The following is a 22,275-nucleotide window of genomic DNA, read 5'->3' as shown; positions in this document are numbered from 1 at the left end:
CATCTGGAGCCCGGAACGTCTCCCTGTGATGCTGTGCTTCAGCGGTCACGCTCCTGGTCCACTTTCATGTTCCACCCTGTACACCTGGCTCTGCCTTCTAGATAGCAGTAGCAGAATTAGTGAAAGTACTAAAAGTCTTTGAAATGCATAGAAGAAATAATGGCATAAGCTGTCCTCTCTCTCTGCCTTACTGCCAAACAGGGAGGGCCCCCTGTCCGGTGGACACGTGACTCATGTGACCTTATCAATCATTGGAGATCACTCACACTCCTTACCCTGCCCCTTTTGCCTTGTGTCCAGTAAATACCAACACAGCCAGGTATTTGGGGCCACTATAGGTCTCCGCGTCTAGGTGGTAGTGGTCTCCCGGGCCCAGCTGTCTTTTCTTCTCTTTGTCTTGTGTCTTTATTTCTACGATCTCTCATCTCTGCACACGAGGAGAAAAATCCACAGACCGTGTAGGGCTGGACCCTACACCCGTCCCGTGCGGCGTGCCCTTTGAGGGGAAGGAGCTCACTAGATCCTCTGTGCCTTACCACCAAAGGGGCTAAATTCAAGTTTTTTTGATGATGGTACATTGTTCTTTTCTACTTATATTTTTCTAAAATACACTAGGTTCTTCTTTTGGCCATCTTCACCTTAATCTCTTGCCCATAAACCTGACATTAATAAAGATTAATAGGGGTTGTCTGTATTCTAGATATTCTCATCTCTGTTACTAGGCTACACCTCCTTTCTTTTACATGTCAAATTGAAGAGGTCAATAGGGTGTAGTGTGGAAGGATGTCCCAGTGTGATTAATAGCAAGGGCTGAGCCCTCAGACTGTCTGGGTTCCAGTCCCAGCTCTGCCCTGGATAGCTGTGTGATCAGGGGCTACATGCTTACCCTCTCTGTGCCTCAAGCTCCTCCTCCAGGAATAGTGCCCACCTAATTGGTGTGGTGAGTCTAAAATCATCTACAAGAGGTGCTTGTTATAGTACATGGAACACAGTAAAACGTCAAACATTAGTTATTATTAATGTCGTATTACAAAAGTGGTACTATGCTGTCTATGAAACGTGCTTTTTCACATAACATTGTACCTCTCCTGGGTTGGTGAACACCCATCCACTGTCCTTGGACAGTGTAATACTGACATCTCTGGCCTGTGTCTCTCACAGCTGACCTTGATCGATCTGATTATCTGTGGGTCCCTGGAAGCTATTAACATCCACAGCATCAGATGGTCAAGGGCCTTAAGGCCGGTCTTCCTAATTAACTTCCCTGAAAGTCGTCAGGTAAGCATATGATTTAGGATACGTGATGGTTTGTTTTTGCCGAAAGTTAGCTGGTTTCTTGTAAGTAAAGTAACATTTTGTCTCCATAGATCTGCAGGGCTTTCCAAAGCCTCCAGAACACCCTGCCCAATATCCTCTATGTCTTCTATTGTTCATGTTCAGTGTGCTGATGTTCTGCCTGATGGCCTTGAAGCTTTTTGGGAATCGATGAGCACACTTCTCTGGAAGTTTCTGCCTGGGAATTCTCCCATATTTAGGTTGAGCCTGTTGGCGGCACAATCTGTCACCAAACACAATCTTCCATGTTCAAACACTGCAGGAGTGCTCTTGAAAGGGAAAAAGTGTATCAGTGTATTAATTTACGTGTGTGGTTTTCACTTTATGTTTTTGGTTCCTCTTTAGTGGTCTGAAAACAGCAGAGGGATCGCCTTAGTTTGAAAACATTCTGGAGATAGCATTTGAGCTCTACGTGCTGGTCACTACAGCGAACAGCCCTGACATCATGTCCGCGCATCCTTGATCCGTGTTCATGAACATCTTTTACCATAACAGAATTCACACTATTCAAAGCGGCTGTCTCCTGACTCTAGTAGGGCTGTGAGAGGACAAAGAGTGATTTTCTGTTTAGTCCTATTCACTGTAAAAGTTTTGAAGAATATAAAATTTTACAGCACTAGTAGCCTATCCTCTCTACTTAACACTAAATTTAAATGAATTCTTTCAAAATGGAAAGGAACAGGAGACATCTCTTGAGATACAATTCTTAATATTTGAGCCCACTTTCTATTCTGGAATCTTCTTTGAGTCTTGAATTTAAAGACATAAGCCATCTTTGTAAAGGAATCATGTCTGGTTCTCCTAAGCATTGATGCAGTTTTTTGGCTACATCAAACAGGAAATAAATGTAAACATCACTAATTGTTGGGGTGATCAGACCCAACACCAGGTTGTGGGGGTGACAAAGTCCGGCGGAGTCAAAGGATTGAGAAAAGACAGTTTGAGAGACAGAAGTGGGACCAAGGGGCCATCGCAATCATGGAGGCTGCAAAGGCCCCAAGCTCTGGGAGCCCAGTGCTATTTATTGGTAATCCAGCAAAGAAACAGGTGGTGAGAATGTGGAGGTTGAAAGGGCGCATTGCATTAAGCACATGATTTACACCTGTGATGGTTTAGCATTTGCTCTGCTACTTGAGATAATGGAGAGCATGTTCTTTTAACTCAAGATACAGTCGATCCTGGGAGAGCAAGGAGCATGGAGCCAGCAAGTGTAGACACGTTCCAGAGCCACGAGCCCTGGATTCTATCCAAGTCACGAGGGGTTTTATGCCCTGGGCTTAGATTATGGTGCATCAGGGTAGCCTTCCACCCTTTAGCACAGAGCTTGGTGTTCCAAAGGCCACAAGGGGTTTTAGACCCTGGACCCCAGACATGTTCCAAGACTCTTTTACCTTATGTCAGACTTGCAAGCCCTGCCTCAGCTTCTCCCAACACTCAGCTTTTTCCCAACAGTAATTGCCACCTTGCTTGCAAAATGCCAATTCTCCACACGTGTGGAAATTACTTAGGAGAAAAACCTCATGGAATGACTTCTTGTTATGGATTTACCTCATGCATAAGGGTAAAGTTATTAAGTGGTACTGCACAGAGTAGCTAGCTCTCCAGCTCTAGAGAGTGGGCAGAGCCTCACTGCAAACGTCAGTCCACATCTGCTCCAATAGTGACCTCAGAGAGGCAGGTTTTCTGTCATCTTGTGATGTGTAGGTTCATCAGATCAACTTGTTCTTGGTTGTTGCTCACTCTTGGGCCTGGCCTTGGCCCTGGCCCTGCTTATGTTCTCTTGGGTCTTTCCTCAGACCCCTGGCTGACAGCCTAGCCAGCACCCCTTGACGTCCCCTCCTGTAGGAAATTAAGTTTCCATTAAAGGTAGAGTGAGCACCTGTCACAACTTGCCCTTCCACAGTTATCACCGGGTACCTTTCATGCATCGTCCCCTGGGTGGTTAGAATATGATCTGGCCCCAGCCAAGGCAGTTGGGTGTTCCACACAGCAAGGATTACCTGACTTTGCAGTGCACAGCCCTCTTCCCAGCCATGCTTCTTATTCTCTTTGTAATTCCTAGCAAGTCACTGTCCTTTCTAGGCCTCAATTTTCTCATTGTGGAGGGAGAAAACTGAATTGGGAGATCACTAAGGTCCTGCCACTGTGAAAATTGGTGCCTCTGTAAGGTACTAAGAATTTCAGAAGGGCAGGTGTGAAGCAAGCTGTTCAGCATTAGGGATGGTGATGGCTCTGAGGCCCCATCACACCCTATGGGGGAGAGCGAATGTTACAGGAGGCTTTCTGGTGCCTCGTGCACATGGACTGTGCATGTGGGATTTTGCCTAAGGTCAGCCTTATATGCATTGTGGAACTAGGGTATGGAAAACCATGAAACATGATTATTTTCTTCTAGCATGCCTGTCTATGACTTCAACTGGTGGTATTCTTTGTACTTTATAATCTACATTATCATTAATACCTACATCTTCAAGTCTGTCTTTCTGGCCATGGTGTACAGCAATTATAGGAAGCATTTTCACATACTGTGTGTGTGTGTGTGTGTGTTTTGTAGTGATGAACAGAACTTGTTATTTACCCAATTCTATTATCTATCATAATAGTAAATTAGCTACTATAATAGACAAAAGTATGACTCTCAGTTAAATAAGAGATTTTTTAAAAATCTTGTTACAAAAGAAAAAAATAAAAAAAAACCATATTGTGTTTATACCCTTAGATAACTTCCCTCCTCCCCGAGTCAATTTAAATCTTTATCCCACCTCAAAAACAGCCCAGATTGACCCCTGGGAACATCCAGGAAAGCAATGAAGAGAGGGGTGAAATGCTCTAGGCCAAGAACTCCCAGCCTGCAGGCCTCAAAACCCTTGGAGGCTGCAGTTTTGGTCACATCCGTGAGTCTTTTTGAGAGTACGCTGCTCCTGATACTTGGACCGCTGCACTCCAAATGACCCCACAGCCAACCCCATGCTTTATGACAATGGCAGTGGAGGAGGAGAACAGACCACTTGATTCTCCTGATGGAGATTTTCTCTTTTCTCCCCATCAAGTCTGGATTTTCATCTCCAGGGTAACAAGGTACAGGAAGAGCAATCAATTGCTGCTGCAGCCAGTAATAACCAACCCAAGCCAGTTTATGGAAGCCCACAGGAAGCTTCTCTGAGCAGTATAGGTAAATCAATGTAGACCCACAACAGTGTTTTCCCCACTGGACCTGGTGATGCCACTTGGAGGGAAAACAGGTGGGCCCAGCCCGAACTCAAACACTGTCTGCCCTGAACCCTCAGCAATCCACACCTAAGTGGCTGAAGTCAGGGGACTTCATGCTGCTAATGTCAGGGGACTTCATGCTGCTCAGATCAGTGGCTCTCAAGTCGACCTCCACTCTGAACATGGCATTGGCAAGGGGTCTCTCTGCCAAATCGGCTCCTGCTGTATATTTGGGAGTCACACAGACACATCTACTACCTCTAGCGTCCCTCAAGAGTTTGCTGCTGCACAAATACAAAATCAAGTCGTCCTGGTTTCTCGGTGTCTTTCCTGATGCTGTTTTAGATGAGTAATGCCTGCTTGCTTTGCCTAGGCTCAGGGCACTGTGCTCCTAGGACTAGTGGCCACAACCTTGTCCTGCTGAAGGCCCGCAGGAAGCCCTTGGGACACGAGCACTTCCACTGTCTGGTGCTCTTGAACTGGTTATTTTAGGGAGATAGGGTGTGTCCAGCTATGGGCTGGTCTCTGTGGGGCTGTGACAATTCAAAGTGACAGTAAACGGACGCAGTGTTAAAAGGTTCTCTGTGCCAGGGGTGCCTGGTGGCAGAGGCTGAGATGGATGGGTCCCAACCCATCAGCCCTGCCTTACCTGTGCTCTCTAGCTACGCCCTCATCCATCTGAAGCATGTGGGTTGAAGGGGGAGGCAAGTAAGGCTATCCATGCACAAGGCTGCCCCACCCTGTGGTCTGTCAGTAGTGCATGTCTCTTTAGGACGCTGGTATGTGCCTCTGGTTTTATAGCTCTTTGCCCATGGCAGCTCCGATGTCAGGTGGCCTGGGCCCTGCACAGGTCGGTGGGAGGGTGCAGGCCCTGGGTGAGGAGATCAGGGACATGATGGCTCATTGGACCTCAAAGGTGATGGGAAAGAGAAGTGTCTTCCCTGGCTCCCCACACAGCAGTATGTTGGCCTCCAGGGCTGTTCCATCACCCATGACAGCATGGACCGCGCTGTAGCCACTCTGGAAAGCGACCCTTGGAAGGGAGCTTGTGCGGGAGATAGGAGGACTGATGTGCACCCAGCAGTGTCATGGGGACAGGGCGCTGGCCAGCTGGGTGGGACTCACCCTCCTGACACCCAGTTTCCAGGATACTCCTTCACCCCCACCCCAGGGCAGATCCCTGCCCTAGATTTTCTCCCTCTCATGTCCAGCAAATGCTGTGCCAGAGCCCTGGAATTCCATGGGGCAAGCTAGGAAGATGGAGAGCTGAAATGAGGAAGTCATCACCTTTTCCAAAGAGAAGGTAGGCCCAGTACCACCCGGGTGCCCCTTGGGCAAGCTCTCCGGGCTGGGGAACAGGAGTAGGGGCTATGTCAGGTGCAGACAGAAGCAGGGAATCTTCCAGGAGGCACTGTAGAATGTTCCATTGCAGCAGCTCATACCCTGTCAGGCTTAGACATTTAGACATTGAGACTTGGAGATCCCCGGCAATTCATATTCAAGGTCAAAGGGCCAGTGACAGAAAGAGGAAGGCCCACTGTGTCATTCACAAAGTGCATCCAAACCCATCATCCCAGGTGACCCTCACAATAACCCCGTGAGATTTGCAGGCCAGGAGCCTCCTCAAAGGAGGAGTCAGGAATGTTGGGGTTAACAACTCCTCCAAGTCAGGACCAGGAAATGCTATCTCCAGCACCAACCTAGGTTCCCTATGCTTCCTCCCACACCACAGCTTATGGGCGACTGCCACCTCATGGACAGAGCCCTTCCCTGTCCAATTTCCACCAGGCTCCTTCCTCTGATCATCCCCTCAGACACCTTGTTTTCTGAGGCCAGTCACTCTGGGAACTGTTGTCCTTGGCAAGTGGGGACCTGGGACTTTGCAGAAAGCAGATGCTAAGGTCATACTTGGCTGGGACCAGCATTGGACAGCAAACCTCACCTTTTATTTTTAAATTTTATTTATGTACTTATTTGAGACACAGTCTCATTCTTACCCAGGCTGGAGTACAGTAGTGTGATCATGGCTTGCTTCAACTTCCGCCTCCCCAGCTCAGGTGATCCTCCCATCTCAGCCTCCCTAGTAGCTGGGACTATAGGCTTGTACTGCCATGCCCAGCTAATTTTTGTATTTTTTGTAGAGACAGGGTTTGGCTATGTTGCCCAAGCTGGTCTCAAACTCTTGGGCTCAAAAGATCCTCCTGCCTCGGCCTCCCAAAGTGCTGGGATTATAGATTTGAGCCACTGCGCCTGGAGAAACCTCACCTTTTGAAACTCATGCCTTGTTTGTCCTCCTGCCAGCACATTGGTGCTGCCTCCTAAGGAAGCAGCAAACATCCATTATCAACAAATATGCTGACCTTCTAGGGTGATTTAAGATTGGTGGTCTTTGATAGTGATAGTAAAGTGATTGAAATATTTATTCCATCCTCTACAAAACTCAAGTAAAAATAGTTTTCTGCATGTGGTCCTCAATATATTCAGTCCATGGGTTCAACCAATCACAGGTGAAAAATATAAAAAAATAAAAATAAAAAAGCAATACAGCGTAACAACTATTTACATAGCATTGACACTATATTAGGTGTTATAAGGAATCTAGAGATGATTGAGAGTACACAGGAGGATATGTTCAGGTCATATGCAAATACTACACCATTTTCTATCAGAGACTTGATTGAGTCTCTGTGGATTTTGGTATCCTTGGGGATCTGGAATCAGTCCCCCACGGACCCTGAGGGCTGAGTGTGCGTCCATCCTGGGATTGATCAGTGTCTCCCCAGAGTCTCCGAGAGGCTCAGTCTTGCTCTCTCAGTGTGATTTTGTGATATTATAAGCATGTGACTGGTCTGTGTCCCCAGTCCCTGGCAGTAGAGTTCTTAAGCCCTTGCAGTTTTCTGAGACCTGTAGGGGTGACAGGAGCTTCTTTTTTTCTGAGGTGACTCTTGGTAGGCTCCTAGGAAGCTTCAGGGTGGCCCTGGTCAGAAAGACCACACACATGATGAGAGGGTTGAAACAGTCTGTGTGACCTCTGCACCCCCAGGGAGAGAAGAGGGCTGGAGATAGAGTGAGTCACCAGTGGCCAGTGATTTAATAAATCATGCCACATGATGGAACCCCCATAAAGCCCCCAGGCAACTGGGTTCTGAGAGCTCCCACGTTGGTGACCACAGGGAGGTGCTGGGAGGGTGTTGTGCCCAGAGGGTATAGGAGCTCTGTGCACCCCCTGCCACGGTGCCCTGTGCATCTCTTCCTCTTGGCTGTTCTGGAGTAGTGTCCCTTATAATAACCAGTGATAGGAAGCTGAGTGCTTTCCTGAGTTCTGTGCATCATTCCAGCTAATCATGGAGCCTGGGGATGGGGTTATGCAAACCCTCCATTGAAAGCTGGCCAGTCAGAAGTACGAGAGGCCTGGGGCTTGTGATTGGTGTCTGAAGTGAGGGCAGCCTTATGGAGCTGAGCCCTTAACCTGTGGGGTCTGCACTAACTCTGTTTAGTAAGTGTTAGAATTGAGTTGTGCATAAAAGCAGTTCGGACTAGGCTGGCCATAGAGGAGATGACAGGCCTGGTGCAGATTCACCTGGGAAGGGAAGGCAGCTGATGAACAGGGGCTGCGGGATACTCTCCTGGGCTGCCAGGAGCCAGTCTATGGCCCCAAAAGCATAGTGTGTAGGGTTTTAGCCTGGAATCCAGGAGAGACTGGGGAGAAGCCCCAGTCTGCCCTCCACCTCCTGCCCCGCCCAACCAGTTCCTCTAGACTGATGTTCTCCTCTCTCCTATGACTTTCTACCCTAGGGGGGGTCTCTGTAAGCCAATAATTGATTAGAAAAGTGAAAAGAAAGCAAATGAAACCAAGAGTCAGAGTCTTTTAGTGGGCTGGGCTTAGGGTTCCTTCATCAGATGGATGTCTCTGTCTTTCTTGCATATTGATGACTGGATGCACTGAATGCAGTTGCATTACAGGAAAAAGATGTCCACCTCACACAAATAATGGAAGAGGGTTCCAAAGCCCCAGGCTCACCAAATGCAGGAGAAGCCACCTTCTCATCATCTAAAGTGTGCTGCTGCCTCAGCAACGGGCCCAGAGAACACTCAAAACGAGTGTTAAATTCCAGGCCCGCATCACAGCGCTGGGGGAGGAAACTGCTCTGGGTCCATCGGGGCAGACCTACTCCTCCTAGCACCTAGATCCTTCCATCCTGGTCTGGGACTACCTGTTTTTCATCAAACTTACTTTACTGCAAGTTTCTTTCTTTCTTTCTTTTTTTTTTTTTGAGACGGACTCACTCTGTCGCCCAGGCTGGAGTGCAATGGCGTGATCTTGGCTCACTGCAAGCTCTGCCTCCCAGGTTCACGCCATTCTCCTGCCTCAGCCTCCCGAGTAGCTGGGACCACAGGCGCCTGCCACCGCGCCTGGCTAATTTTTTTGTATTTTTAGTAGAGACGGGGTACTGCAAGTTTCTTTACTCCACCTACAACCCAGACACTGGCACAGTTTCCCTCCCATCCTTAGAGATAGAGGGTAAAACCACATGTTTGGAGGTTTAAAGATTTCCCAGAAGTCTTTTTCTAATTTTCTGGTATTAAATTGAAAAGAAAATAGAATGCACAGATGAAACATGCAAGGTGATGAATTTTCGCAAAGTCAATGTGCTGTGCAAGTAAGACTCAGGTCAGAAAACAGATTTATCCCAAATTTATCTGATAAGAGGACCCCAAATGCTTCTCAGGCGTGCTGACTGCTCAGCCTCCTACTCCATGACATCTCCATCCGTGCAACAACACCTCCCCACAGCTCCTGTGGAAGGCCTGGATTGCTGCCATGTGAACTTGGAAATGTCAATTCTCCTTCTGGCCATGCTGGGTTGAAGTTAAATGATTTCATATATTGTCTTCCTCCGTTAATCCTTCCAGTGGCTTCTCTTTATATCCACATTAAAACCCAAGTACCTTTCTTGCCTATGTAGTAGGCAGCCTCACTAATGGCTCCCCGTGATCCACACCCCTGGGATACACATCCTTGTGCAACGCCCTCCCTTTGAGTGTGGACTAGACCCTGTTCTAATCACAGAATATGGCAAAAGTGATGGGATATCTCCTCCAAGCTTTAGTTGTTAGTAACCATGGCTGACATTTTCTCAGATCTTCTCAGCTCTCTCTTCTCCCCTCTCTCCCTCCTCTCTTTCTCCTTTCCTCTCTCTGAACCCTGGCTCTGGGGAGCAGCTGCTCTGTTAGGAGCTGCCCTAAGGGGAGGCTCCTGTGGCTTAGGACCCAGAGAGGACAACAGAGGGGAACTTGGCCCTTCAGTCCACATGGAATCCTTCCAATAGCCCCATGAATGAACTTGAAAGTAGATCCTGCCCCAGTTGAGTCTCAGAGGAGACCTCAGTCCAGCCCCCTGAGAGACCATGTGGTAGAAGCACCCTGTTGAGCTGGGCTGGGCCTGGGTGAGCGCCCATTGTTACGGGCGGTTACGGGTGGGGCAGTGTTTCCACACAGCAGTGGGGCCATCATACAGTGGACCTGGCCCAGGATCTGCTCCACCCTTCCCTCCCTCCCCTGCTCTCCCCCCAGCTCCCTCCAGCCACGCTGTCCCCCTTTCTAAGCTCCTCTCTGGACAAACTAATGTCTGTCCTAGAGCCCCTGCACAGTTCCACCTCCCCACACTGTGCTGGAAATGCCTGCAGGGCTGGCTCCCCCTTGTCATTCTGCTCATGGCATGACTGTCACCTCAGGGAGGCCTTTTCAGATCCCCCCACCATGAAGTGGCCCCCAGCCTCCCCTGCAGCAGTTGCTTTACTTCGACACAGCACTTGCTCCTTTCCCCACTTATATGTTTTGTGGCTTGGTCCCGCTCCCCCTCCAGATGGTGCGCTCCTGGAGGGCAGGGACCATACCATATCTGTCTTTTTCACTGCAGCACCCAAGCTGAACTCAGGCCCTGGAACAAGGTAAGTGCTTTGGGTATCAAGACTGAATGAGTAAATGAGAGGATCTGGAGCCCCTCACTCCCACATCCTACCACGGACCAGCTCGGACTGTGGAGATGGATGCTGACAATAGGAAATGCAGGTCAGGTTGGAGGCAGGGGAATGGCCTGAATGACCCCTGGCTCTTCCCTGGCTCAGGTGCTCCCGCAGAACACAGTGGGCACATGTCTCCCCCTGGTGGCCAGAGCTTGCACTGCATCCAAAGAAGGAAAACCACAACACAGAACTTGCAAGGCAAATCCACGCTCCCACATCCCAGGGGGCAAAAATCCAAGAGGATTGAGAGAAATATCAGAAAACCCTCTTATTCCTACTGCCAGCACTGGCCTGGGGTCCAGACACTTCCAAGGCCTCCTCACCACATCCAGGGAGGTGGCCCCGGCTCCACTTCCACAGTAGGAGGACCTGAGGCTCCCACACTGGGGTCTTTGCCCTTGTCCAGGATGCGTGGTCCATGCTCTGCTGCTCCAAGTCTCAGTGCATCAACCACCCTGCCTCTCTCTGCTCAGAAGGAACTCCAGGGGTAGAAAGCATTTTCTAAGAACCTTGGAGCACAGTGGGTCACCTATGGAGAGCTGGGGCAACGGAGGCTTTCTGAGCCTGTGGGACTCTTGGGGTGACCCACGCCAAGCACCTCAGTATGTAGGGAAGGAAACTGAGGTCTTCTTTCCTGTAGCCCCTTCAGTCTAGGGGGCTCATCCTGGTTGAAGGTGCCCACAGCAGTGGACACAGGACCCCAGGCCCTGCTTTCCCCTGACTGCCGTGGAGGTGGTACCAGACCAGGCTGACCCAGGGGACCTTAGGGATCCCCCAGCCTGGCCTCTTTGCATCTCTCCCCTTCCCATGCTATGGGCCCTGGTCATGGTTCTGGTGACTGGATGCTGCTGTCTGTAGCAGAGCTGCCTCAGCCTCTTTCTTCTTTCCCTTTGTTACCTACCCAGGATCTGCTTCTCCTCCCATCCTACCCTTAGTCACCCCCTGTGATGTCAGCTTGTGCGTGTCTGTGGGTATGCACCTTTGGGGATGCTGAGAGGAAACAGCCTCTCCTGGGAAAAGTGAGTCAGGGTCTGCAGGATTTTAGGGGCTCCGATTCCCAAAGCAACCCCATGGGATATGGTTCAGCCCTGGCCTAGGAGATGGTAACTGGACTCTGCCCATGTCCTGTGTCCTGGGCCAGCCCCTCCTCTCTCTGGGCCTGGGTTTCCCAAGTGTCTAATGAGGGGTTGGACTGGAACTGCATATGGAAGTCTCAGTGTGGACCTGTCTGGCTCCCTCCATACCTGGTGGGTGAGTGGGATGTGCTCTGGGGTAACCTTGGGCCTCCACATGAGTGGGCATGCGTGAACCTTGAAGGAGATGCCTGGGCCTCATGCCCATGGCCACACATGCACACACGGTCTGCATGGGCCCCAGGCGGCAGGTGCACCAGAGCCACACTGCACAGCACATTGCATGGCACCAGTGGTTCCTCCAGCGCGTGTCCCACGGTTCCTGTCTCCTGCAACCAGGAAGTAAGCCAACCTTACTTAACCACATGGACTTGGAGGAAGGGAGTAGTTCCCCAGGGGGAAACTGAGCCTCTGTGACTATTAGAAGTGGCCATGGATGTGGGACCGGCGAGAGCCCCAGATCTTTACAGTCATGCCGGTCACCTACACCCCTGCCTCTTGCAGGAGCGTGTGTCCCAGGGAAGGGCAGGACTGGTCCCAGCTCACAGAGATTCAGGGAAAAGTGAGTGCCTCAGCTGGGGTTAGATTTGTCTACACACAGCAGAAAGTTCAGAACAGTTGTGGCACAGACAAGAGAGAGCGCTTTCTTTCTCCTGTTAAAGAACTCTGGAGGTGGCTGTCCATGCTGACCCGGGCTGTCCCCATAGCCATCAGCCAGCACCTGTCCTGCTGTCCCAGAGTCTCAGTAGCTGACTTCTGTCCTCAATGCTGTCTCTGGACCCCAGAGGGCTGTGCTTCAGAGATAGGAAGAGGAGAGAAGGAAGGACCAAGACCTGCTCAGCTGTGTGAGTTCCAGGCAGACAGCCTCTGCGAGCCCCTCACAGTGCCTCTGCTCATGCCCAGTTAGCTTGGACTTGTTCTGGTCACCTTAGCTACAAGGTAGGTTAGTCAGGAGCGGTAGCCTTTTCGCTTGGCAAGTTGTTGCCGAGGATAAAACCGAGCCCTCTGTTCTTAAGAAACAGGGAAGTATGAAAATCCCGGGTGAAGACCAGCGTTGTCTCCCTGCACTGAACTGCAAGATGAAGGGGAGGAACTGAGTTACCCTTAGATAAATTGGGAATTTATTTGTCTAAAACAGACTCTCTTTTCTTGGTATGTATTCATTGAAGAGAGAGAAAAAGTCATGGCTCTCAGCCAGGATATGTGAGTAGGAAGGCTGCTTTCAGTGCCTAAGCAGGATGATAGGAAGTGATGTGTTGGCTTCCACCTGACTGTAATTTGTAAGGAGCTCTGAGAAAATCCTCTTCTGTTTCATCAATGGGGCAAGGCCAGCACAGGGGTTTATGGAGACTTCTAGGCAAGCAGCATGTTCCTAAAAGCTAAGACTAATTTAAATCTCTAAACTAAAAAAGTAGAATGGTTTGACCCCACCATTTTGACTAGAGATATTTCAATTCTCATAGTGAAGATTAATAATACAAATAATCCACGCAAAATGGATAACGGTTAAAACTATATGTGATACAACTTACGATGACCAAAAATTGTTGGAAGAAAAATATTTTGGAAAATATTTTGTTGTGTTTAATTTGATCCTGAAAAGTTGACTTAAAGAAATACTGATCCCTAAAGAAAACTTACGATAGCAGAATCTGTAGTCAGTTAATTTTGATGTGGCCCAAAACAGAGTCATTTAAATAAAAAAAAATCCTGATAAAATAGTTTTGGTGAATTAAAAATAAGAGTCGATGAGCTAGAGGCTGGGCATGGTGGCTCACATCTGTAATTCCAGCACTTTGGCAGGCCGAGGCAGGTGGATCACTTGAGGCCAGGAGTTCAAGACCCACCTGGCCAACATACAAAAAGTAGCCAGGCATGGGTGAGGCATGCCTGTAATACCAGCTACTCAGGAGGCTGAGGCAGGAGAATGGCTTGAACCCAGGAGGTGGAGGTTGCAGAGAGCCGAGATGATGCCACTGCACTCCAGCCTGGGTGACAGAGCAAGACTCTGTATAAAAAAATAAAAAATAAAGTGGATGAGTTAGAATTGGGTTTCTATCCTTTATTTTTATAAAATGGATCAAGGTTTTAACATGTCTGAATAAAATTTGCCATGGACAGCTGCCCAACCTTGACCTGCTCAATCTCTTCCAGACCTTCTGCCAGAAAGTGGGCCTGCTGTGCACGCTTCAGGGTAAGCTGCAGCCCCAGGACTGGACATTGTTGGACGAACTGCTGCAGGGCCTGCAAACACTGCTGCTCATGATTTTGTGGCAGGCTTCCCGTGGCCTCTTCCTGCACTACCATGTGGAGGCCCTAACCCTGCGTCGCATCAGTAGCTTCCGCCAGTACAAGTATGACCTGGTGGCAGCGGGCAAGGCTTTGGAGGGCATGTTCTGCAAGCTCAACCACCTCCTGGAACACCCGCACCAGCTGTTCTTCCTCTACCTGCTCCCCACTCTGTCCCGCTTCGTCTCCATCGGCCTCTACATGCCCGCCACCAGCTTCTTGCTCCTGGTCCTTGGTTTCAAGGCTCTGCAACTGTGGATGCAGCTGCATGAGGCCGGAGTGGGCCTTGAGGAGCTCAGGGGGGTCCCTGACCCTAGTGTCCCCGCTCCCCCAGCACAGGATGGTAAGCACACAGGTCCCAGACAGGGGCTGGATGGCTCTGAAGCTGGTAGCCCTGATCTACCTAATACTGCAGCTGGGCTGCATCGCCCTCACCAACTTCTGACTGGACTTCCTGCTGGCCGCCACTATGGTGCTGCCGCTGTGCTCGCCGAGCCTTTGGGCCCTGGACCCTCTGTGCTGCCCTGCTGGTGTTGACAAGCCCAGCAGCCACGCTCCTTGGCAGCCCATTCCTGTGGCGGGAGCTGCAGGAGGCACCACTGTCACTGGCCAAGGGCTGGCAGCTCTTCCTGGCAGCACTGGCCCAGGGTGCGCTGGAGCACCACACCTAAGGCGCCCTGCTCTTCCCACTGCTGTCCCTGGGCCTCTGCCCTTGCTGACTACTTTTCTGGAATGTGCTCTTCTGGAAGTGAGATCTGCCTGTCCGGGGCACCAGGCTGGGACAGAGACTCCCCAAGGACCCCATTCTGCCTCCTTCTGGGGAAATAAACAAGTGCCTGTTTCAGCTGCTTTAAAAAAAAATAGAAAAAAAAAATGCCCTGGAAAATACTGTGTTAGCAAAAAGATTTAAAGATTGGTATAATTCTGATTTAAATGTTTTATTTAGCACAAAATCAAACATTGCATAGGAACAAAATTTTCTGAGACAAAATGGCTGGGTTTAAATGGGTTTAAATGTCTAAAAAATACTTAGCTAACAGTGTGGTTAAATTTTTACTTATTTTATTTATTTTTGAGATGGAGTTTCATTCTTGTTGCCCAGGCTGGAGTGCAGTGGTGCGATCTCAGCTCACCGCAACCTCCACCTCCAAGGTTCAAGTGATTTTCCTGTCTCAGCCTCCTGAGTAGCTGGGATTAGAGGCGTACACCACCACACCCAGCTAATTTTTGTATTTTCAGTAGAGATGGGGTTCGCCATGTTGACCAGGCTGGCCTCGAACTCCTGACCTCAGGTGATCCACCATTCTCAGCCTCCCGAAGTGCTGGAATTACAGGCGTGGGCCACTGCCCCCGGTCAAGTGTTTTTCTTTTTTTCTTTTGAGATGGAGTCTCACTCTGTTGCCCAGGCTGGAGTGCAGTGGCACGATCGAGGGTCACTGCAACCTCCGCCTCCTGGGCTTAAGCAATTCTCCTGCCTCAGCCTCCTGAGTAGCTTGGAATACGGGCACCCACCACCCCACCTGGCTAATTTTTTGTATTTTTAGTAGAGATGGGGTTTCACCATGTTGGCCAAGCTTGTCTTGAACTCCTGACCTCAAGTGATCCGCCTGCTTTGGCCTCTCAAATTGCTGCGATTACAGGCGTGAGACACCGCGCCCGGCCCCGGCCAAGTTTTTAAGCAGATACATTAGTTACATGTGCTGAAATATCAGATGACTCCCCCAGATTTCACTGACTTCACATTATATTTTGGGCCCACCAGAAGTTGCTGGCTGGGCGTTCAGGGTAGAGGCTGCTTTCCTCTGCGTGGGCATGCAGGAACCCAGAATCTTTCCATCAGGTGCCTCCGTCATCTCTGGGACCTCCTCCCACCTGCATCTATCGGTAGAAGGGGAGAGTGTGAGAAAGGCATTGGAGGCTTTTGTGGGCCAGCTCTGGAAGTGGCTCACCTTAGTCCATTGCCTCCCTTTGGCAAAAGCTGGTCATAGGACTACACCTAACATAAGGGGACTATGAACTAGAGCTTTTATTTATTTGTTTGTTTGTTTGTTTGTTTAGGCCCCATGGGGGCTGTGAACTGGAGCTTCTATTTATTTATTTATTGTTTAGGCACCATGGCCTACACTCCTTTATTAGAGTGAGGGTCCCGAGGACCAGCCCCCATATATGATGGGTCCACTTGAGCCTCCTTAGGAGCCCCATGAGGGAGTGATGGCTTGGGTAGGGAGCCAGGGACCTTGCCCAGCCCGACACTGGAGCAGGAGAGCGGCCTCAGTCCCCACCCCAACCCCAGAAGAGGGCGGGGCGAGAACCGGAGTCAAATCTTGGGCCGGGTCCAAGGGCCTGAGCGCCTGGTTTAGGCCGGAAATGGTCTAGTTCTCAGAGGTGGTCCGATCCCTAACCAGTCCCAGGCCCAGCCCCAGCCCAGCACCACCTGGAAGGTTCAAGTACATGGAGGAGAGGAGTAAGGCGGACTTGGGCGTATGGAGAAAGGGGTGAAGGGAGAAAGAGGACTTGCGCTCAGGAGGGAGCGTGGCCTACTGGTGGGAAAGCAGGCGTGGCCGCCTGTGCGGGAGGTTGCGGATCCACAGTGGGCGAGACCAGGCCCCAGCCCCATCAGGGCGCGGGGTGCGCAGCCAGGTGGTGCTCCAGCAGCGCCCAGTGAGAGGAGACCTTGCGGTAGACGGGGGAAGGGCGCGCGCTCTGGCCGCTGAGTGCGCATGTGCATATTGAGCGAACTCTTCTGCGGGAAGGGCTTGGCGTAGACCGCGCACTGGAAGGCGTGCGCGCAGGTGTGCGTGACCATGTGCTTGAAACGGCAGTAGCGCAGCGAGAAGGATCGCCATCACACGGCGCACTGGTGCGGCTTCTCCCCCGAGTGGATGAACATGTGCTTGGTGTCGTTTTTCCTTGAGCTGAACGTCTTGCAACAGTGGCCGCACGCATAGGCAAGTGGCTCGGCACCAGGAGTGCGAGCAGTGGTGCCTGAGGGGGCCGTGGTGGGAGCAGCAGAGGGAGCCGGGGCCTCCCGCAGCTGAGTGCCGGGGGCTGCCTCGGGCTGGAGTGTGGGGTAGAAGGCGGGTGGGGGCGCAGGGGCTGGCACGGATGGTGCTGAAGGGGGTGGTGCGGGTGGTTCGGGAGCACCCAAGTGAAAGGGGAAGAGTGCGACAGGCGGCCCTGGGGTCTTCACGCCAGGCGGGCGGGGTCCAGCCAGTATGCAGTCGGGCTGGACAGGGGTCTCGGTGGGACAGCCTTCGGGGACAGCGCCATCCTTGTCGTGCCAAGCGGTTACATAGCTGTCTGGAAATACGTCCTCAGCTGCCCCAGATCCCGGAAGAAAATCTCTCCCACACCACTGTAGTCAGAGAGGCCAGTGGGTGCATGGAACTCCTCGCACGCGCTGTCAGCAGCAGCAGTGAGGAAGCCGGCAGCACAGTCTGGGAAGGAAGGAGGTGCTTGGCTCTCTCCCGGGCCGCCACCTTCGCCGTCCTCGCCATCGGTCTCATCGTCAGTTTCCTCGTCATCGTTGTCACCTCGGTCGTCAGGGGCCGCGGACAGTGAGGGGTAGGCACCAAGCCCCTCGGCTTTGGCAGGTGTCGGGGGCGCAGGCAGCTGCAAACTCGCGGGCCGGCGCTGCTTACCGCTGTGCGCGGCACCGGGGTGCCCCGGGGGTGCGCAGCCAGCAGGTGGCGCAGGCGGTGACGCAGCTGCTCAGGTGCGAGTGGCGGGGGCACAGGGGTGGGCAGGGGCGCGGGTGCAGAGGTGCTCGCGGGTGCAGAGGAGCGCGTGCGATAATCTGCGTGCATTCGTCGATAACTGTCTATGCGAAGCACCGACGCAGCCATGAGTACCTGCGGGGCTTCACTCTGTGCCACAACGAGCGAACCGCTGTACAGGAGCTCGACTAGCTGTCGCACCGTCTGCACAGGCACCACCGAAGGCACACGGATCTCAGAGGGGCCGAGCAGCAGCTTGTCTTGGAAGGAGGGCGAGCCGATTGCCAGCCCGCAGCGGTGCGCACGCAGCGAAGCTTCATGAATGCACACAGTCACGTCGCAGAAGTGCCCACCCAGCTTCTGCCCATTGAGGGTCTCAAGCAGAGAGCGTGAGAAGTTCTGCAGATGTATGTGGCGCACAGCCTCTACAGCCGCCGACTCCGACTCCTCTTCAGGCACCAGGCCTGGCCGTGGCCGCCTTCTCACCGACTCCAAGGCAGCACTTCCGGGCGCTTCTCTTTATTTTTATACAGTTTTATTGAGATATAATTTACATGCTATCCAGCCCATCTATTTCAAGTGTACCATGCAAGGGGTTTGTATATATTCACAGAGTTGTGTATCCATCACCATCGTTTTAGAACATTCATCACTCCAGAAGAAACTACTACCCATCAGCAGCCACTGCCCATTTCCCTGATCTGCCCCGCCCTAGGAAATCCGTAATCACTTTCAGTCTATGGATTTGCCTATTCTAGACCATTCATATAAATGAAGTCACACAACACTGGGTCTTATGTGACTGGCTTCTATCAAAGTTTGCAAGGTTCATTTATGTTCATGGTATGTATCAGTAGCTTGTTACTTTTTATGTTTGACTTCTATTCTGTTACTTACCTACACCGTATTTTATCTATCTCTTCTGCAGTTTATGGGATTTAGGTCGTTTCCACGTTTTGGCTGTTCTAAATAATGCTGCTCTGAGCGTTCACATACAAGCTTTTCACATGATTTCATTTCTCCAGATCTAGGAGTGCAATTGCTATATTATATGGCAACCCCGTGTTTCACTTTTTGACAAAGTGCCAGACTGCTTTTCAAAGGACAGCATCATTTTATATTCCTGCCAGCAATGTCGAGGGGTCCAGTTTCCACACATTCTCACAAACACTTATTGTTATCTGTCTCTCTAGTTATTGCCTTCCTGATGGATGTGGAGTGCTTTCTCATTGGTTTTGATTTGCATTGTTTAAATGAGTTATAAGATTGAGCATGTTTTCATGTTTATTGGCTGCTTGTATATCTTCTTTGGAGAAATGTCTATTCAGATTGTCTCCCCATTTTAAAATCGTGTTATTTTCTTTTTTACTATTGACTTGTGAATGTTCAAACATGTATATATATATATATATATATATATATATATATATATATATATATATATATATTTTTTTTTTTTTTTTTTTTTTTTTTTTTTTTTTGAGACGGAGTCTTACTCTGTTGCCAGGCTGGAGTGCAGTGGCACGATCTTGGCTCACTGCAATCTCTGCGTCACGGGTTTAAGTGATTCTCCTGCCTCAGCCTCCTGAGTAGCTGGGACTACAGGCATGCACCACCACACCCGGCTAATTTTTGTATTTTTAGTAGAGACGGGGTTTCACCATGTTGGCCAGGATGGTCTCAATCTCCTGACCTCGTAATCCACCCACGTTGTTCTCCCAAAGTGCTGGGATTACAAGGTGTGAGCCACCGCGCCCGGCCCAAACATATTCTTATACAATTCTCTTCTTAGATATAGGGTTTGCAAACATTTTATCTCACATTGTAATTATTTTTTCATTTTCTTGAAAGTCTACTTTGATACAGGAATATTTGTGAATTTTATAAAGTACAGCTTATCTATATTTTCTATTATACTTGTGGTTTTGGTATGATATCCATAAAATCATTGCCTAACCCAAGGTCACAAAGCCTCAGTCCCATATTTTCTCCTACGTGTACTAAACTTTTGGCTTTTATATTTAGGTCTTTGATCCATTTAGGGTTAACTTTTATAAATGGTGTGAGGGAGGGGACTAACTTCAGTCTGTACATGTGAACATCAATCTGTCCCAGGACATTTTTGAAAAGACTATTCACTCCCCATTGAATTGCCTTGTCTCCCTTGTCAAAGTCACAACAATTACTGTCCTCATTTTTGTATCTGGTCACATGTTCCTAGTTAGTAACTATAACTACCCTCTTCTACTACGCATTCTGTATTCCCTTAGCTTTCAGCAAGCAACTCAGTTGGTCTTGATTCTTTATATGGGGCAATGACCCAAACTTTCCTTCCTGAAGGAATTGGGCCATTGGCAGCTGTGCCCGAATTGGGTTGTTGTAGTTTTCCATTAAATTAATCACAGGGCATGGTAGTAGGTAGCACTGAAGACACCCTAGGAGATCCCATGTATTCCAGAAGTATTATTTCTTAGTTCTGTGGAGTAGAAGCAATTAACCCTTGGTAGTCAGGATCAACCACCTCTGCCAGCACGGTAACTCCCTTCTTTGCCTGTCTATTCAGAGGCATGAGGAGCTCAGAGTGGACAGGGACTATCTTAACTTCCAGTTCAGTAGAATCATTTCTTTGTATCGTGGGGGATGCATTCCTCCTTTTGGGACCAAGACTTCTAGACCAGCAGAGCATAAGATTGAGGGACAGGAAATGAAAATTTTGCTGGTGTGTCACTAGGGGTAATAGTGATGATGAGAACCAATTGGTGTGGGAGACCATGAGGTGGATAAGGCACTCTGTAAGTCCAGACAGTAGTGTGATTTTTATGAAGTACAATTTATCAGTGGTGATAGGAACATTGAGGGTAGGAGGGGAAATTCTCATACATAGTGTCTGTTTCAGTGAGAACAAGACACTGCCTCTTCTATGATGGAGGTGGTTCAGAGTCACAGCCAGGTTACCTTGGGAGTGGAAGTCCATGTTGCAGAGCCCAGGCATCACCTCCACCCCTGCCACCATGGCCACTGTATTCATGAGCCCATTGAGCAATGACAGGGGTGGCTGGGGAAAGAGGCTGAGTGGTGTCCACAGAACAGGTCATCCTATCTGCTTGATTATTGAAATCCTTCTCTGCCAAGGCCACCCTTTGGAGAGCATTTACATAGCACTCAATGCACTCTTGCTTTTGGTTTACTCTTTTACTAGGTGAAACCAGTCCTAGTGGCTCATAACTGGGTTTTCCTATCATACTTGTCCTCAGTCCGTAGGTGAAACAACAAATGTAGGGATGCTGAAAGTTGCTGAGTATGTGTCTATTCCAACCACAGGGTGGGTTCAGGGACACATTGGATCCACTGTGAAACAGACATGAGCTCACACTCCATCCACCAGCTAACCTCCATAAGTCCCTACTCTGGTGGACCACAGTGATGTTTTTGGTCTCTGGGAATTCCTGTCAAATCAGAGCCAGTGTCCAGAATTCCCCAAATATCTGAGAATTTTCTTTTCTCTAAGTCACAGTCATCCTGGTAGAAGGCTGTAGGTCCCTTTGGGGAAGACTGGGAAAAAGATTAACTATGTAAGTTTTTGGCAATGTAGCAGCGTACTTCCCCAAGATCACCCAGCCTCCCCTTCACTTAGGGGTTGTGGGCCTGTGAACTGGCTCAAGTCTGGGAATTGATTGAGGGTTTAGATCTGTGTTTCATTAATTTGAGTTAGTCTTTTATTCAGTTGACCTAGAATTCTTCATTTTTTAAAAAACAACTAAGACTTTGGTACAGCCCATTAGCTCTCCCTGTGGATACCATGGACTACACAATGCCATGGGTTTCTGTGAGTCAAACCATTCTGACTGCTGCTTTGACACTGCTTTCCACTGTAGTGACCACACCCACCTCATCTTTGGTGATTAAGGACAGCCCATGTTCCCTGCCACCCCAGGATTCAATTATCCTCATTTTATTTAAAGATCCCAGTCCAGTGGCTGCAGTTTCTGCTGTAACATTTTGCCTACTGAGAGCACGAGCTCAAAGCTCTTCCAGGATACTGGGCTCCTCTCACAATATTCTTTCTCATGATCGTTGTGAGAAGTATGTTCTGTAGACCCTCCAGTGTGAGTGAGCAGGTCTGACATAATAAATCCAGTCTCCCTGAGTTTTTGCATACCTTCCTATACACATAAACCAAGGAAGTTGTGACATCTCAACTTTATGTACTTTAGGTAAACTCTGATTCTGTTTCAGCCAACCAGCCAAGTAACAAAACAAATAAGCAAACAGCCAACCAATCAACCAACAAGCAAGCAAGCAACAAACCAACCAAACAAGCAAGCAAGCAAGCAAGCAACCAACCAACCAACCAAGTAACCGATCAAACCAACCCTTGGAGCCCTTTCTAAAACTTTGACCTACAACCCTGAATCCAGAATCTCTGTTTAGTGGGCCAACATTAATAAATTTAGCCTACTCCAACTTTGTGTTACTTCCACCATGGTGCCACACACTTAATATCCATTCCCACATATATTCTCCAGATTTCTTTCTGTATAAATTGTGTGTGTGTGTGTGTGTGTG

General features: G+C 49.6%; 1 protein-coding gene, 1 long non-coding RNA gene and 2 pseudogenes across 5 annotated transcripts in view; 3 read left to right on the top strand and 1 right to left on the bottom strand.

Annotated features, from left to right (window-relative positions):
• LIMS4 (LIM zinc finger domain containing 4) overlaps positions 1–22,275 on the top strand; it is a 113,949-nt gene that overhangs the window by 71,820 nt on the left and 19,854 nt on the right. Inside the window, exons 10-12 of one of the 4 annotated variants that reach the window (XR_007068194.1) lie at positions 10,412–10,496; positions 11,477–12,549; positions 13,859–13,923. Coding sequence is in view for 3 of the 4 variants with exons in the window: in XM_017003103.3 (XP_016858592.1) it covers positions 10,412–10,496; positions 11,477–11,506 (115 nt within the window). In the remaining variant the exon portion in view is untranslated. The other 3 variants (XM_017003103.3, XM_017003104.3, XM_017003105.3) reach the window with 3 other exon arrangements.
• Positions 13,820–14,843, top strand: GPAA1P2 (glycosylphosphatidylinositol anchor attachment 1 pseudogene 2; annotated as a pseudogene).
• On the bottom strand, positions 16,213–18,213 carry ZBTB45P2 (zinc finger and BTB domain containing 45 pseudogene 2; annotated as a pseudogene).
• LINC01106 (long intergenic non-protein coding RNA 1106) overlaps positions 16,720–22,275 on the top strand; it is a 9,428-nt gene continuing 3,872 nt past the window's right edge. Inside the window, exon 1 of the long non-coding RNA NR_027244.1 lies at positions 16,720–16,941. This is a non-coding gene — a long non-coding RNA (long intergenic non-protein coding RNA 1106). The remainder of the gene's footprint in view (positions 16,942–22,275) is intronic.

The sequence above is a fragment of the Homo sapiens genome, chromosome 2 (genome assembly GCF_000001405.40).
Source record: "Homo sapiens chromosome 2, GRCh38.p14 Primary Assembly".
Taxonomy (NCBI): domain Eukaryota; kingdom Metazoa; phylum Chordata; class Mammalia; order Primates; family Hominidae; genus Homo; species Homo sapiens.
Note: the sequence above shows the minus strand (reverse complement) of the source record. Positions and strands in the feature narration are given on the sequence as shown.